The sequence below is a fragment of the Homo sapiens genome, chromosome 18 (genome assembly GCF_000001405.40).
Source record: "Homo sapiens chromosome 18, GRCh38.p14 Primary Assembly".
NCBI classification, from domain to species: domain Eukaryota; kingdom Metazoa; phylum Chordata; class Mammalia; order Primates; family Hominidae; genus Homo; species Homo sapiens.
In genome coordinates this window covers 11,724,015-11,742,189 of record NC_000018.10, presented here as the reverse complement: position 1 = coordinate 11,742,189, position 18,175 = coordinate 11,724,015, and the positions used below count along the sequence as shown (strand labels likewise).

Below are 18,175 nucleotides of genomic sequence, written 5' to 3'. Positions count from 1 at the left end.
CTCAGCTGAGCACAGTGTAAGCTGCTGGCTGGGAACACACAGGTAACAAAGCATACTAGGAACTGTACAAAAATGCACATGTGATGGGCGAATGGGTAAGCAAAATGTGGTAGAGACAGAAAGTAGAATGGTGGTATCCAGGGGCTGGGAAGAGAGGAGAAATGAGGAGTTAGTGTTTAACGGGTACAGAGATTCAGTTTGGGAGGATGAAAAATTTCTGGAGATGGATGGTGGTGAAGATTGCACAATGATGCGAATGTACTTAATGCTACTGCGCTGTACTCTTAAAAATGATTTAAATGGTACATTTTATATTGCATATATTTTACCAAAATAAAAAAGAACAAAATGCACATGTAGAATTTTCAGCACAGCAATTGTGGGAGAGAGTCTCCTGATGACAGCTGAGTGACTTCAATTCCTTGTTCTTAGACACATTTACTGCAATTATACTTTTACACCAGCAGGTGACAACATGGAGCCTGGGGGACAGATGGAGGCTCTGAGGTGCTTTTAAAGCAACGCATGTTCATTCATTCATTCATTCATCATAAAGCATTCTTTGAACACCTACTATACATCTAGCACACTTCCATGCCTTGACATTATAAGGATAAATAAGACATTGTCCCTGATCTCATTAATTTAATAGTCTAGTTGAGAGGGATGGACCTGCAGTCAAGTTCTCTGAATTCTGTAACGATTACAGCGGGAGCACAGAGGAGTTTGTGTGGTTAATTCTACAAGTGCATAAAAAACATCATTTCATTTTTTTTAGAGAAATTTATGCTAATATTTGTAAGTCACTCTTCATTTTTAAAAGACACTGAAAGGTGCTTTATTTTCAGCATCTCATTTGATGATTATAGAATGCACCATATTGCCCACAATTTGGTCCATAGCTTTCACAGGGGTCTGTTCTGTTGGATTCCAAAGCCTCCACCCTTTCCCGGATGAACTCTGAGGCCTCTTACAGATTTTAAAAAACTACACCCTTCTCTCTTCTACTAATTCCAAAAGGAAAAATCAAAGAAGCCTACCTCCTTTCCCACTCAGTTAGGCAGATTAATCTGCATATAATGACTGATGAATTAATTATCTCTTTGCCCAGTTGCCTTAGCAACTGGTTTCTTTTAGACTTTGGTTTAGTTACAGAGTTTAAAGCAACAGTATTCCTTGTAATAGAATATCGAATTGTCTATGCAATTAAACATAACATAAACTTTTCTTATCCCAGGTAGGAACTATGAGCCTTTCTCAGAGAAGCTGGAGTGGCTCATCCTAAAACTTGCAGGGCTGTTGACAAAGAGGAAGGGGCACAGAGCTTCATATTTGTCTATGTTTGCATTGCATGGTTTGCTTTTATTTGTCATCACATAGCAACATTTGATGAATTTAAACTATGGGTAAGTTGAGACTGACATTCAAAAGGGATTCCCTCATTGCACACGAATCCGAAACAAATTTAGATGTATTGTATGGTTGAGCAAATGAAGAAATGTGTTATGTTGTGAATGAGAGCCAGGATTTTCAGAAAGGAAGAGGCAACACACACATATGGAATGAAGAGAAGCAAGAGGCCTGTGGGGATGGACTGGAATTGCAAGAATTGGTATGAGCTCATGATTTTTAAAATATACATAGACACACTCATGATTCTGTCCACAAATGGGTGTGTGCAAGTGTATTTGTGAGCCTGTGTATGTTTGTCCCTGTGTATCTACATGCATGTATTTCCTATTTCTGTCTGCTGAAATGCCAAGAAGTGAAGACTCTCCAGTAGCAGCGAGCAGGGACGGTACCCAGATCTTGGTCATCCTTAGAGAAATAGCTAACTGGGGGTGTGGGGTGTGGAGTGGGCAGGGCAGGGTAGCTATGAGCTAAACCTGGAACACTGTTATGTCGGAAAGTAAGGAAGTGCCCCAAAATGCTGGGGGTACACCACTAGCACACAAGAGCTGGATTGAAGGGGCTCTCATTTGGCCAAATGTGGGATGATGTGAGCACCAAAACAGTTAAGTACTGTAACGAATTCTAAGCCACTGAAAATTACAGGCCTGTCAGGTGTCCCTGCCAACAACAGACAGATAAATAAATAAATAAATAAATAAATACATAAATAGAAAAGGGAGGACTCTAGCCAAAGGCAGCTAGTGAATGCGGAAGGAGGGCTGGGACAGGGGACACATCCTTTTCGACCACTGTGGGGAAGCATGGGTCGGGTGGAATTGGCAGCAGATGCTGAACGCAGGGGGAGGTTTTAACGAGGAGCAGGAGGGCTGTATGGTCTTAAAGTGTCTCCCCATAGGGTGCTTATTAGTGGCAACATAAAAAAAAAAAAAAGTAACCACACAGTGGAGAAACTGGACACCAAATTGGGTCATCACAATTGACCCCACCAGTGTGGGAGGTGTGGGCATCACAGGTTTCCACAGGTGAGACCCCGGGAAGGACACCACAGAGTGTATGCAGTGCTCTAGCCAGAAAGGTATTTCCTGAATTTAAGTCAGGAGGAAACATCGGGCAAACCTAAAATTAAAAAAAAAAAAAGGAAAGGGACCTGTATTCTTCACTAATGCCAATGTCATAAAGAGCTAAGGAGCGATGCAATACCTCCAATCCTGGAGGGGAAAATGCTGGAGAACACATAGAGGGGCCGACCGATGAAACTGCTGTGCAGATGATGACGGGTCAGACACACTTATTGTCTCAATATCCAATCGAGTGATTTTGAGAACCGTACCATGGTCACCTAAGGGAATACCCTGCCCCTAGAAACACACACGGACGTCCTTTGGGAGTCAACGGCCATGATGGCCACAGCAAGCTCTCAGAAGATGGAGAAAGATTCACCTGTCTACACCTCCACCTGCACATCTACAGAATGTATGCAAATGAGAAGGCACACAGGGAAATGTGAACAAGAGGCGAACCTGGGTGAGGGGCATTTAGGAAACCTTTGAAGTCTTATTCTTGCAACTTTTTTCTAAGTTTGAGATTGTTTCCAAATGAAAAGTTGAATAATGAGAACAGCCTCAGATGCTCTGCTCTGTAAGAATTTCCCTGAATCTGAGCACCAAGTGCCCCCAGGGATCTAGGCTGCGCAGGGCACTCTCTGGGCCCTCACCTGCCCTCGTTCAGTGGGCAGCGGACACCATCATGGTGTTTCTGCTCGTGTACTTCGGTGATGCACTGATCGCATGAAATAAGGCAGTAAGATGTTATGACGTCGGGCGGCAAAGAGCAGTGGGCTCCTCCGCAGCACTGAGGTTCTGTGGGTATTGAGTCCCCCAGGTCACTGCCGTCCTGCCTGGCAACCTGCACATCCTCCTCATCCTCACCCGCTCTGCACGGACTCATACTACACAATTTTCCAATTCTGCCTGGAAGGAGTGCCTCCTCCTTTACCCTGGGGAATAACTGCTTCAAGAGGAAAGGCTTGGCTGGGCGTGGTGGCTCATGCTTGTAATCCCAGCACTCTGGGAGGCCGAGGCAGGCGGATCACTTGAGGCCAGGAGTTCGAGACCAGCCTGGCCAACACGGTGAAACCCTATTTCCAGTGAAAATACAAAAAATTAGCTAGGTGTGGTGGTGGGCGCCTGTAATCCCAGCTACTCAGCAGGCTGAGGCAGGAGAATTGCTTGAATCCGGGAAGTGGAGGTTGCAGTGAGCTGAGATAGGGGAAGCTGGGGCATGTCTGCCTCGGCAGTGAGCTGGTCATGAAGGTGCCATGCTGGGCTCTGCTCACAGAGGTCAGGCCATCCTAGATGACAGCCCTCCCCTCAGGGAGCTTGGTGTCCCAGCCAGAGACATTGCTGCCCACAGCAGACCTGGCCTGGCCAATGCATGCTACAAGAAGTTAAGACACAGAAGCCAAGGGCCAGGGGTCCAGTGGCCCAGGCTGTGCTTGGGCAGGAGCCTAAACGCTGGAGGAGGCCTTTGGGGCCTGCTTGGAACAGTGGGACTTTTGGGGTGGGTGGTGCAGGCTAAGCTCATGTTGGGAGCCCGGCAGCCAGAGGAGCTAGAAGAGAGAAAGCCTGGAAGCAGGGTCTGTGGGAGGCTTTGATATTAAAAGAGGAAATGCAAGTCAGCCCTTCATCTGCTGAGTGATGAGCTACCAGCAGGTCTGTCAGCCCCAAGTCACTGCCTTCTGTGAAGCAGAGCCTGGACGCTGGGGGTTCTGCCGGCCTGCAGACCCACCCTCTCCGGCCCAGGGGGCTGGCTCTGCAGACAGCCTCCACTGGGTTCCCTGGCCCAGCTCCTGTGGGTGCAGGGGGAATGGCAGGGTGAGGGGAGGAGGTCAGGGTCCTTCCCCCGTTCCCCCATGTCAGGCTGAATGCTGTCATCAAGCTCTCTTCAGTAACCTGTTTTGAGGGGATTGTTTGTTTTCTGCCAGATTTCTCACCCAAATGGTTCCCTTCCTCTGGGCTGATATGTCCCTGTGCCCAGCACAGGGCTTGGAGAGCAGAGGCATCCGGATTTCAGTCCCCATGGCTACTCTGGTCAGATGACCCTGTGCGGATGGAAACCTGCACTGCTATGTGGGGTGGCCCTGGCACACTGGCAGGTCTGGGCAGCTTTGATCTGACAAGGGCTGTGCTTTCAGAAGGAAGGTGAACCAGTGGACTGGAGAGATGGGGAGAGTGGGCAGGAGGGCAGTGAAACCCACTGCAGAGACCCCGAGGTGCAGCCAGGGAGGTGAGTGCAACAGACATTCAGAAGAGTGGAAGAGAGAAACATTCAGAGAGACTTGGAAGACCTTGGGGGCTGATCAGACTTGAAGGTCAGGGAGAGGGAGATGAGAAAATGCCTTAGGATTCTTAGAATTTGACTAGAAAACAATATACACAATTTAAAGCATTGGTAGGCATTATTGTAATGAAGCAAGCTATTTTCTCTTCTACAAAGATGATTAAAACATGCACAGTAAGCTCATTGTATATATAGTAGTCCTCAGATGAATATTTAACAAAATGTATTTTTTAAAGTTTGAAATACTCCACTTACCCGCATGTGATTGTTACACATTGGATGCTTGTATCAAAATATCTCATGCAACCCATAAATAGATACACCAACTATGCATCCACAAAATTTAAAAAAATTGAAATAATTCCAAGCTCACAGAAAGAATAGTATAAAAATGTTCCACATGCTCTTCACCCAGTTACTTCAATTGTTAGCATTTTGCTACATTTGCTTTATCATATACTTTCCCTATCTGTATGTTTTCATATTCGTATTTACACATTTTTTTCCCCTGAACCATTTGAAAGTAAGCTGGAACCAGTATGCCCTTGTCCATAGGTATTTCCTAAGGCTGAGATTCTCTTACATAACTACAAATGTTGCTACAGTCCTACTGACTAATCAACCATCCATATACAAAGTCTGCTAACAGAACCAAGTGTCCTTTGTAGCAATCTCCCCATCCTTCTTCCAGGGGCTGGCCCAGGATCACACAGCATTTAGCTGTCCTGTTTCTCTTCTAACACAACTGGGGAATTTACACCCTGCAGTTGACATGGGAAAATGATTGTGAAGGTTGTTCTTCATGAGCTAGAGGAGGTTATCATCACCACCAGCAGCTTCTAAACAGCAAGGCTCAATCTCTCAGACACACCAAGCACCTTCTGCAAACAGGGGTTGCAGAAGTCAAGTACAAATCTTTCAGAACAACTGCTGTACAAATGCAGTTTAAAGGTATGTGATACTTTAAATCTTATTTAAAATAAAACTAATACTTCTACATACAAAAAAATAAAACCACAAAGAAGTATCTTTAAAAAATAATAGAGATAGGGTCTTGCTCTGTTGCCCAGGCTGGAACGCAGTGGTGTGATCATAGCTTATTGCAGCCTCTAACACGTGGGTTCAAGTGATCCTCCCGCCTTGGCCTCCTGAGTAGCTAAGACTATAGGTGTGTGCCACCATGCATGGCTAATTTTTAAATTTTTTGTAGACACGAAGTCTCACTATGTTGCTCAGGCTGGTCTGGAACTCCTGGCCTCAAGCAATCTTCCCGCCTCAGCCTCTCGAAGTGTTGGAATTACATGTGAACCACCATGCCCAGCCAGAAGTATCTTTAATAAAAGAAGTCTCTCCCTCTGTGGGAAGAAAATAGACTAGATTTGGAGATGTACTGGCATGTTAAGTCCCAGAGTAAGTTGCGGGACAAGACAGAGAGTAGTAAACTCTGCATATCAAATCACTATGTTAATAGATTCTTGTATATGAACAGGGGGAGGGCTCGAAGGCATCCGATAAACAATTGGGACCCAGGAAGGGAGGTTTCCAGTGTTGCTCTCTGTCCTTTTCCATTCTCTGAACTTTTTACTGTGACCTTGCATTTTTTTCTCCCTTCCTTCCTTCCTTCCTTCCTTTCCTTCCTTCCCTCCCTCCCTCCTTTCTTTCTCTCTTTCTTTTTTTTTTTTTGAGACAGGTTCTCACTCTGTGGCTCAGGCTGGAATGCAGTGGCACAATCTCGGCTCACTGCAAACTCCTCCACCTCTAGGGCTCAGGCAATCCTCTCAACTCAGCCTCCCAAGTAGCTGTTACTACAGGTGCATGCCACCACACCTGGCCAACTTTTTATAGTTTTAGTAGAGGCAAGGTTTTGCCATGTTGCCCAGGCTGATCTCGAACTCCTGGGCTCAAGTGATTCTCCTGCCTCAGCCTCCTAAAGTGCTAGGATTACAGGTGTGAGCTTCACACCTGGTCACATTCTTTTTAATTAAAGAGACCAGTGAGCTACTCTTATTTAAATGATCCATTCCTTATCATCACTCTCTTCATTGAGCTCAACTCACTTATTAATACCACTTATCAATACCTTATCAGGTCGGGCACAGTGGCTCACACCAGTAATCCCAGCACTTTGGAAGGGCAAGGCGGGTGGATCACTTGAGGTCAGGAGTTCAAGACCAGCCTGGTCAACATGGTGAAACCCCGTCTCTACCAAAAACACAAAAATTAGACGGGTGTGGTGGTGCGAGCCTGTAGTTCCAGCTACTTGGGAGGTTGAGGCAGGAGAATCACTTGAACCTGGGAGGTGGAGGTTGCAGTGAGCCAAGATCGTGCCATTGCACTATAACCTGGGTGATAAGGGCGAAACTCCATCTCAAAAAAAACCCCCACAAAAACAATAAACAAAACCTTATCAAATGCCCACCAATCCTCACGTCGGCCTGGCGTTTTCCCTGTGCCCACCTGAGTCCAGCCTTTCTCTTTATCTAGGATGCTCTCTTCCCACTTCTCTGCAAGTCCATCAAACCGGTTCTATACTTGGTTCAAGCACTCCTGCATCAGATAGGGGACGCTGGTCTAAATGCCATTTGCCCTTTAGCTTCCTGCCTGGTTGCTGTGGTTCTCTGAGAATGCCAAGTTTCTCCAGTAGAATAAATCCCCCCAAAGGCTATTTCCTACATGCTCATCAGATCATTGATGCTTACTGAGTGAACTACAGAATGACCCCAGCAGTGGTCCTGCTTAGGATCTGGTAGTATTCCCTTTGCAACCTAAAACCTCACCTGTTGAACGATGCCATGAGATCTTTAGAGTCCTAGGCGAGCCTATGAAACTCCCATGCTATCTAGAATGCAAGCTATTGCTAATCTCTCAGAAATTGCTGCTCTCCAAGGACATATCATTTAAGCCACACAGCCATGCTCCAGCCCTCAGAGCCCAGACATGATTGCCTCCACTGAATCCATTCTATGTGATTTGATCCTGTCCTGTAAAGAAAATCTACACCCGGCGCGGTGGGTCACGCCTGTAATCCCAGAACTCTGGAAGGCCAAGGCGGGTGGATCACGAGGTCAAGGGATCGAAACCATCCTGGCCAACATGATGAAACCCCGTCTCTACTAAAAATACAAAAATTAGCTGGGCGTGGTGGTGCACGCCTGTAGTCCTGGCTACTCAGGAGGCTGAGGCAGGAGAATCGCTTGAACTGGGAGGCGGAGGTTGCAGTGAGCTGAGATCGCGCCACTGCACTCCAGTCTGGTGACAGAGCGAGGCTGTCTCAAAAAAAAAAAAAAAAGAAAAAGAAAAAGAAAAGCTTATTGCTCTTCCCTAACCCCCAGTTCCATCGAGAAACCACCGAGCCTCTGGAAAGATGGTTTCATCTGAACTAAGAGCTGTTTCAAAAAGGATGAGGCCACCCCACATCTTCATCCCTTCTGGTGAGGCTGGGGGCCTCCTCCAGGAGAGAAATGATGGCGCAGTTCTACAGAACGGACACAGGACCTGTCCAGGAATGTGCAGAATGACACGCACACACAAGTTCTGGGCTTGGACTTTTTTTTTTTTTTTTTTTCAGTGATAGACATAGGGGATACAAGTGCAGTTTTGTTGCATGGCTATAGAGCATAGTGTAGGCATCACTTGAAGAGCGTACACTGTACCCAGTAAGTAATCGTCCCTCCCTCCCTCACATCCTGCCTCTCTAATGTCTGTTCTTCCACTCCTGTGTCCGCGTGCACACATTGTTTCACTCTCACTTATGAGAACATGTGGCATTTGACTTCTATTTCTGAGTTATTTCACTTAGAGAATTACCCTCAAGAAGACATGATTTTACTCTTTTTACAGCTGAATAGTATTCCATAGTGTATAAGTACCACATTTGCTTTATCCAGTCATCCGTTGATGGACTTGGAATGTTTTTTAAGACAGAAAAAACATCTCCAAAAGATGAAAATGAGAACACACCAGTGAGAGGCTGGGACCTTGCTGCCGTTTAGCTCCAGCTCTGGAGAACTGGCTGTGTCCAGCAAGCCCCCCAGCCTCACTGGCCTCACTCCCCAGTTTCGCTTCTGCTCTCCGCCACCTGGGTACAGCATTCAGCAGGCAGAGCAGTTTAAAGGGTGAGCAGAGGGAAACAGCTCACCCTTTTATATAGCAGGAGCTTCACACATGACAGCTGTCCCTCAGACACAGCACGAGAGGCCCACACCTCCAAGTCCCCAGTCGACGGCTCCCCGCGCCCGGGCGCAGCTTGGTGCATTGCAGGAGCCTTTCCCTCGCCAGCGCCCCTGTGCCACAGCGCCACCAGGCGGCCGTTCGAGAAACAACCCGACTCTGAGCACAGATCAGAGTCTTCTCTTCACATGTCCAGGTGTCCACAGCGGACCAGACAACACTACTTCCTTCCAAGCAAGTTTTATTTCTTCTTTCCTTGCTGTCTGCAATTTCTGACAAATCAGTTAATCACTGCCCAGAAAGCTCTTACTTCATGAATACATAACTGTAGGCATCCCTATACCCACTCCTGTGTTCCCGCCTTTCTATTTTTGCTGTTTCCCTCTTCGTGAATTTCCCTGTGCTTCTGCTTATGTGATTGCTGTAGCTAACTTACTGTGCTTCTCATCAGTTACTGGGTTCTGCTGATTTAACATTTACATTGACAAAACAATGTTTCAAAGCATATTAACATTTTCTTTTGAACACTCCGTCTATCCCTCCTCCATTTGTAAATGTTGGGAAGATCCATATTTAGAACCATGTAGTTAAAACTTGTTAGCACTGAATATTGCTAACATACAACACAATTGAAATGATAAAATCGGGGCAAAACTTGACACTATTCCTTTTTGAACAGATACCCATGGGTGAGGACAGACTAAATGTAGAGTTACGTGTGCTTGAGAACAAATGAGAAAAAATGACAAATAACCCAATTAAAATAGGAACAAAGGATTTGAACAGACATTTCTCTAAAGAAGATATACAAATAACCAATTTGCATAAGAAATGATACTCAACATTATTAATTAAGGAACTGCAAATCAAAAGCACAGTGAATAACATCTCACATCCACTAGGATGGCTACAATAAAAAAGACAGTAACGAGTGTCGGTGAGATGTGGAAAAATTAGAACCCTTCATACACTGCTGGTGGGAAAGTAAAATGATGCAGCCACATTGGAAAACTGTTTACGTTTTTCTTAAAAAGTTGAACATACAGTTACCACATGACCCAGCAATTCCAATTCTTGGTAATACCCAAGAGAAATAAGCATATATTTAGACAAAAACCTGTACACAAATGTCCATAGCAGCATTATTCATGAAAGCACAGAAGCAGAAACACGCAAATGTCCACCAATGATAAATAGACAAAATATGGTATACCTATATGATGGAATATTGTTCAACCACAAAAAGGAATGAAGTAGAGATGTATGTTACACATAGATAAAAACATTATGCTAAGAAAAAGAAGCTAGTCACAAAAGACCACATATTATAAGATTATTTATGTCAAATGTCCAGAATAGGCAAATCTGCAAAGAGAGAAAATAGACTAATGGTTGTTGGGAGGAAGAGCAGGAGGGGAAACGGGGAGTGACTGCTAGTGGGTCCAGGGCTTCTTTGCAGAATGATGAAAACATTCGGGAATTAGATATTCCAGTCCTTCAGCAGTGGGCTCCCAAGGACGGTGGTGATGGTTCCACGGCCTTGTGAATATGCTAAACACACTGAATTGTACAATTTTAAGAGGTGTGAATTCATGATATGTGAGTTATTTCTGCACTAGGGGAAATAAAAAAACAAATGGCAATCTTTCTGGATTGGAATTCAATTGCGCAGTGGGATTTCTACGTTCTTTCTTCTGTTTTGTCAAGGACTATATTCGACCTATCGTAAACTAAAAATAAAATCCTAAGGCCCCCCACTGACTGAATGAAGCTTCTTGGCCAAGGGTAACCTCAGAAAAACCTTAAAAACTGAATTCCCAGTCGGGCACGGTGGCTCACGCCTGTAATCCCAGCACTTTGGGAGGCCAAGGCGGGTGGATCACCTGAGGTCAGGAGTTGGAGAACCAGCCTGGCCAACATGGAGAAACCCCGTCTCTACTAAAAATACAAAAATTAGCTGGGCATAGTGGCGTGGGCCTGTAATCCCAGCTACTCCGGAGGCTGAGACACGATAATCGCTTGAACCCAGGAGGCGGAGGTTTCAGTGAGCTGAGATCACAGCACTGCACTCCAGCTTGGGCAACAGAGTGAGACTCCGTCTCAAAAACAACAACAACAACAAAAACTGAATTCCTGGCCATGATGGTAAGGGAAGTCAGACACACCTCATACCCCATTCTTTTTGGAGTTTAGGCACAAATGACTGGAATTAACATTAAAACAGAGATCATCAGTCTAATGCAATAGATTCTGTGTGGCAATAAGACACCAGATTATAAACAGGACCCAAGGCCATGCTAGGCAAGGGTTAAGTCACATGCTGCAAACTATGAAAGCTTGCTAAAGGTTTTTGTTTGTTTGTTTTTAATTAACTCGATATGACATGGCTTACTTTCCAATTTGACTCTGGTATAGTATCACATGACAGATAGCCGACCCCCTTAACTTAAGCATCCTTTGTACTGACTTCAAGTCTTTATTTTATTTTATTTTTTTTCCTTTTTGAGATGGAGTCTCACTCTGTTACCCAGGCTGGGGTGCAGTGACGCGATCTCAGGTCACTGTAACCTCCACCTCCTGTGTTTGAGAGATTTTCCTGCTTCAGCCTCCTTAGTAGCTGGGACTACAGGTGCATGCCACCATGCCTGGCTAATTTTTGTATTTTTAGTAGAGATGGGGTTTCACCATGTTGGCCAGGCTGGTCTCGAACTCCTGACCTCAGGTGATCCACCTGCGTTGGCCTCCCAAAGTGCTGGGATTACAGGCGTGAGCCACTGTGCCCAGCAAGTCTTTAGAAAAACTTAACTTGGCCAGGTATGGTGGCTCACACCTGTGATCCCGGCATTTTGGGAGGCCGAGGCAGGCAGATTACCTGAGATCAGGAGTTCGAGACCAGCGTGGCCAACGTGGGGAAACCCCCATCTCTACTAAAACTACAAAAATTAGCTGGGCGTGGTGCCGGCACCTGTAATCCCAGCTACTCAGGAGGCTGAGGCAGAAGAATCGCTTGAACCTGGGAGGTGGAGGCTGCAGTGAGCTGAGATCGTGCCACTGCACTCCAGCTTGGGTGACAGAGGGATACTCTGCCTCAAAAAAAAAAAAAAAAAGTGGGAGGCTGAGGCAGGAGAATGTTGTGAACCTGGGAGGCAGAGCTTGCAGTGAGCCGAGATAGCGCCACTGCAGTTCGGCCTGGGCGAAAGAGCGAGACTCTGTCTCAAAAAAAAAAGAAAAGAAAAGAAAAGAAAAACTTAACTCTTTCAACCCATTGCCAACTAAATAAAGAATCCCTAAAACCCACCTATGACTTGTAAGCCTCTGCTTCCAGATGTCTCGCCTTTTTGGGCCAAATTAATGTAGAATTTCCATGTGTTGCTTTATGATTTTACCTGCAACTCCAGTCTCCCTAATGTGTAAAATCAAGCTGTAACCCAACTGCCTCGGGGCGACTTAATCAAGGCTTCCTGGGTTTGTGTTTTCTGCCAGCCGCGAGCAGCCACATTGGCTCAGAATAAACCTCTTTATTAATAAAATATTTTACAAGGTTTGGTTTTCCTGTTTACAGCATTTTATGCCAGATTCTGCTGGGTGGTGTGGAGGATACAGAAATGAATCAGAATGGATATGGCTCGCACAGAATATATAATCTGCTAATGCATTTAAGTGAAACTTACAAATATCTACAATAAAAGGTAATGAGTATTATGAAGGAAGTACATAATAAAACGAGTGGAAACTTAAGGAAGAGCACTTCCAACACAGAGGGTCAGAAAATGTTTCAAAGAGGAGGTAACACTTGTAATCGACCGTTAAATCTGGAGAGGATCTGGCTACTTAGGAGTGTGGGAGAGGGATTCCAAGGGCAGAGGAAGCCGGGGAAGCTCTGGAATTGGTGAGCAGAGAGCATCCTCCAGCTGGTTCACTGTGCTTAGGGAAGGCAGAGTGGGCAAAAGAGTGAAAACCCACACAGGTGGGGCAAGAGGAGCGCTAAGACCACTGCTCCATAGGCAGGAAGCATGTTTTCCTTCTAACCGCTCAGGAAAAAAATGTCCCCTTTCTCTTTGATGGAAGATGTTGTACCCAACACATCTATGAACCTATGATCTCACAGTCTTCATATTCTAAATGTTCAGTTCCAGGATTTTAGAAATCTGGGTTAACTATCTCGTTTGCGGCCAAATACCAAATCATCAATAAAAACACCAAAGAGCAAATCAAAAATATGATGCTGGAGATCCCTTCCCCACCCAAATGGCTCTGATGTTTCTTGGAGACTTTATCTACTAACCAGTACTAACTCGTCCATCCCATCCCAGTGTGTTTAAACTCTCAGAGCTTTGAGTGATTTCTCCCAAGAGGAGTCAGCCTTTCATCAGCAGGCTCCCAAGGAAACAATTTGTTTTCAAAATGTATAAATGTCTTTTGCTTGCAATATTGATTTGTATTACACAATATAAAACTCATCGTCTAAGACAGGAATCCAGGAATATTACATTTTCTTACAGAGATGTAGCAAATATCTGTATTTCTGTCTGTATCATCACTGTAAGAAAATAAAAGAACAATGTGAAGGAATCAATGTCTGTGCAAAGACTGAGGGTGAAATGAAGTTCAGAAATAATTGTAGAAACTATTAAGCAGATTTATCTTAAAAAGAAACTTTGAGGTTTGGGACAAGAACAAACACCTGTTAGAAACAATTCTAAGCTCCCGCCTGAGTTGTCCAACTCAGAATTGCAATGAGCCCCCAGAGCCTCTCTCCACTGTGCTGCTGAGACTTGATGAAGGTGGAGCTCCTGGAAGCAAGTGTAAAAATGCAGCCAGAAGAGGGCAGAATCAAGACAGGGGAGAGAGCTTACATGACACTGGCTGTGAGAGCAGGTGGACTTCCAAAAGTAAATAACTTTTGCCTGAAGAATGTGAGTCCTTTTAAATCATCAGGCTCAGAGAGACATTAAAATGAGACAACAATCATGCCTTACTCCCCCCACCCCACCCCCTGCTTGCACTACCATTTTGAGCTATGTATTCATCTTTTGTTGCTGTTGTTAATTAAAGACATAGGGTCTTACTCTGTTACCCAGGCTGGAGTGGAGTGGTGTGATCACAGCGCACTGTGGCCTCAATCTCCTGGGCTCAAGGGATCCTCCTGAGTAGCTGGGACCACAGGCACAGATCACCACACCCAGCTAATTTTTTGATTTTTTATAGAGACAAACTCTGCCTATGTTGCCCAGGCTGGTCTCGAACTCCTGGCCTCAAGTGATCTTCCTGCCTCAGCATCCCAGATTGTTGGGGTTATAGGCACGAGCCATCATGCCAGCCTGTATTCATCTCTTAAAACTGCCTTCTGTTGCCACAAATAGCTATAAATTAACTTAACAATGCCACACTGGACACCATAGCCCACACTCCATAGGTTAAAATGTATAGCCAGTTACTAATCAATGTTACTTCTGTAAACGAATGAAAATTCCTGACAAATAATTTTGTATCAGACTACTCTCTTTCCCCACTTTTTGCCTTTAAAACCCTGATTACCTGAGTCAAAAAAACTCCTCCTCTCTACCTTACACTTGTTTGAGTTAGAATTCTACCATTTACAATGGAAAAGGGTCTGGATTAAAACAAGAGATGTACAATATCCTTATACAATTGGCTCAATAAATGCCTCCACATCCGACATTCTGCCTTTGAGTTTCAGGCTTATCATTTCCGTTTGGGGTCCCGGTTTAGGCAGAAGATGAGGGGAGCAGAAGCTGCAGCCCATCCGTTACTGGAACAGCTAGGACCACAGGTGGGCACCACCATGCCCAGGAAATTTTTTATTTTTTGTAGAGAGGGGTCTCTTGCCCAGGTTGGTCTCAAACTCCAGGGCTCACATTTATTTGAAAAGGTAGCTGGTAGATAAAGAAATAAAAAGACGGCCCAGGGACAGGGTCTGGGGCTGCTACCCCACAAGGCAGGTGGGAAAGTGTGGGGACTCCCAGGCTTGGGATGCCTGACACCCTGCGGCTCCGCCCAGATGGAGAGCAGCAGAGAAGCTGGCAGAGAGGGTGCGCAGGGAAGCTGCTGAGCCTAGGGAAGGGCCTTGCAGGGCTGGGCAGGGTGGTAGTGGGGACCCAGTGAGAGCAGAGGGCACAGGGTGTAAGCAGGGAAGGGCCCACACTGAACAGCAAGGAGGGAGGGGCACCCAGCGCGGACTAGGGCTGGGGGTGTGGAGGACGCACACAGAGGCTGCTACTGAGGACCCCAAGCAGCCTGGTTCCTGGTGTCACTAAAGAAAGCTTTGCTGGCTGATCTCAAATGTTTTCTAACCTTAAGAAAAAAAAAAAAGACTACTTTTCCTTACAACCTGTCCCATTCTGTCCAACCAGCACAGGCTTGATTTTATGTCTTAAACACTGGGGTTTTGGCTAGGATTCATTTTGATTATTTTAAAACAAACAATGAAGGCAGTGTGATTTTGTTGTGGAACTTAACACTACCTGTCTGTTTTTGATGGTGAATCTCATGCTTTGACTCATGGTTACGTAATTCTATTAGGACATGGTTGATTCAGGCATGGGAGGGTATTAACAGAGCAACAGCAGCTCCATGCTGAAAGCCTACCCCAGAGACAGAAAGGGAAAGAAGGACCCACCGTCCAGGAAGGAAGTGCCCACTGGCACAGTGGATCAGAAGATCCCAGGATAAACATGGAGAAGAAACCCCAGGGCGCGAGGAGGTGCCCCAGAGAGGGGCAGAGGCCTGGGAGCTCAGAGACAGCTTCTCCTGCTCACTGAATTCTGCGGTCCACTTCGATTTACTTATATTCATCAGTGTTCACAGCACAGAGATTTGCACAAATGGTTATTAATAAGCAGTGGCATTTGCTGTTTAAATCAGAAATGACAATAGAGAATCCAAGAAATCTAGGTTCCTAAGAATCCTAAAAGAGGAAGAAGATAAAGTGGAAATGGTGAATTATTGTTCACCAAGGCCTATTAAATTCTTAACAGAGGCCAACTCTGGCTAATTTAGTCAGAAAAGGAATGTGCTAAAGGGAAAGTCAACAGCCAACACAATATTGAAGAAGAATGAAGTCAGAGGACTGACACTACATGATTTCAAGACTCACTATAACATAAAGCTACAGTGATCTGGTGCAACAACAGACATGCAGATCAATGGAAGAGACAGCCCAGAAATAGACTCACAGAAATACAGTCAACTGATCTTTGACAAAGGAGGAAACACAAGTCAGTGGAGAAAGGATAGTCTTTTCAAAAGATGGTGCTGGGACCGAACGGTCACAGGCAAGGTGGCTAAGACTGAAAACACCAACACCACCAAATGCTGGTGAGGATGTGGAGGAACAGGAACTCTCATTCATTGCTGGTGGGAATGCAAAATGTTACAGCTGCTTTAAAAGACAATTTGGTAGTTTCCTGCAAAGCTAAATATACTCTTACCACATGATCCAGCAATCACACTCCTTGGTATTTACCCAAATGAGTTGAGAACTTACATCCACACAAAAACCTGCACACGAATGCTCACAGCAGCTTTACTCACGATTGCCAAAACTTGGAGGCAACCAAGATGTCCAACAGGTGAATGAATAAACAAACTACTATTTGATGATGAAAAGAAATGAACTATCACACCATGAAAAGACATGGAGCCACCTTAAATGCATTTTACTAAGTGAAAGAAGTCTGAAAAGGCTACATACTATATGATTCCAACAATACAACATTCTGGAAAAGCCAAAAGGATGATATATTCGTTTACTAGAGCTGCCATAATAAAGCATCACAGACTGGGTGGCTTAAACAACAGAAATTTATTTTCTCACAATTTTGGAGCTTAGAAGTTCAAGGCCAGGGTGTCAGCAGAGTTAGTCTCTTCTGAGGTCTCTTTCCCTGGCTTGCGGATGGCGTCCTCTCCCTGGGTCTTCACATGGTCTTACCTCCGTGCCTGTCTGTGTCCTAATCTCCTCTTCTTATAAGGACAACAGGCATACTGGATTAGGGTCCATCCTAATCTCATTTTATCCTAATTACCCTTTAAATCCCCAATCTCCAAATGCAGTCACATTCTGAGAGGCTGCGGGTTAGGACTTCAATATATGATTTTGTGGGAGGCAGCCCCTAACATTTGGGTGTGTGACTCCGGCTCATTAATTTAGTGATCCAAAAAGCTGCTAGTTTTGAGTGGTGCCCAGAACAAGGGAAGGCTCTGCAACAGGTCCAGGCTGCTGTGCAAGCTGCTCTCCCCTTCGGGCCATATGACCCAGCAGACCCCATGGTGCTCGAGGTGTCAGAGGCAGATGGAGATGCTGTTTGGAGCCTTTGGCAGGCCCCGACAAGCAAACTGCAGCACAAGTCTCTAGGATTTTGGAGCAAGGCACTACCATTCTCTGGGGATAAGGACTTTCCTTTTAAGAAACAACCCTTGGCCTGCTCCTGGGCCTTGGTAGATGCTGAATGCTTGACTACAGGCCACTGAGTTACCACAGGACCTGTGCTGGGGGTTGACACTATAACATCAGGCGTGCACAGCAGCACTCCATCATCAAATGGAAGTGGCTAGTCGTGACTGGGCCTGAGCAGGCCCCGAAGGCACCAGGAAGTTATATGCAGAAGTGGCCCAAATTCCTGTGGTCCCCACTCCTGCTATCATACCTTTGGTCCCCTGCCTGCACCTACAGCCTCACTGGAAGTTCCCTACGATCGGTCGACAGAGGAAAAGAAGACTCAGGTCGTGTGTGTGGATGGTTCTGCATGATTTGCAAGCACCCCCAATAAGAGAACAGCTACAGCACTGCACCGTCTTTCTGGGACGTTGCTGAAGAGCAGTGGGGAAGGGACATCCTTTTAGCCGGCAGAACTATGAGAAAGTCCACTTCTGTTGTATAAGCCACGCAGCCTGTGGTGCTCTATCAGGGCAGTCCTAGGAAGTGAATACATATTATACTAACACACATTGCTCAGTGAAAGAAGCCAGCCTGAAAACGCTGCCCCCGTAAGTTTCCTGAGGTCCCCCCCAGAGGCTGAGCAGATGCCAGCATCATGCTTTCTGTACAGCTTGTGGAACTGTGAGCCAATTAAACCTCTTTTCTTTATAAGTTTCCCAGTCTCAGGCATTTCTTTCCAGCAATGCAAGAACAGACTAATGCAGGCTTCTAACCTAAGGACGGGTAAGATAATAAATTTGGTTGCTGTTTCAAGCCACTAAGTTTGCTGTAATTCAAGACAGCAGCAAGAGGAAA

At 45.5% G+C, this 18,175-nt stretch overlaps 1 protein-coding gene across 2 annotated transcripts in view, besides 3 other annotated features; it reads right to left on the bottom strand.

Annotated features, from left to right (window-relative positions):
* GNAL (G protein subunit alpha L) overlaps nucleotides 1–18,175 on the bottom strand; it is a 196,422-nt gene that overhangs the window by 143,496 nt on the left and 34,751 nt on the right. The window lies entirely within an intron of this gene.
* Nucleotides 3,913–4,682: an enhancer, noted in NCBI's record as "H3K4me1 hESC enhancer chr18:11737507-11738276 (GRCh37/hg19 assembly coordinates)". NCBI's record gives its function as "activates a minimal SCP1, AML or CMV promoter by ChIP-STARR-seq in primed H9 embryonic stem cells {active_cell/tissue: H9 hESC(primed)}" and the evidence as "EXISTENCE:reporter gene assay evidence [ECO:0000049][PMID:30033119]".
* Nucleotides 4,085–4,273: a silencer, noted in NCBI's record as "fragment chr18:11737916-11738104 (GRCh37/hg19 assembly coordinates)". NCBI's record gives its function as "represses an EF-1alpha promoter that drives an FKBP-Casp9 reporter gene in an ReSE screen in K562 erythroleukemia cells {active_cell/tissue: K562}" and the evidence as "EXISTENCE:reporter gene assay evidence [ECO:0000049][PMID:32094911]".
* Nucleotides 8,909–9,517: an enhancer, noted in NCBI's record as "H3K4me1 hESC enhancer chr18:11732672-11733280 (GRCh37/hg19 assembly coordinates)". NCBI's record gives its function as "activates a minimal SCP1, AML or CMV promoter by ChIP-STARR-seq in primed H9 embryonic stem cells {active_cell/tissue: H9 hESC(primed)}" and the evidence as "EXISTENCE:reporter gene assay evidence [ECO:0000049][PMID:30033119]".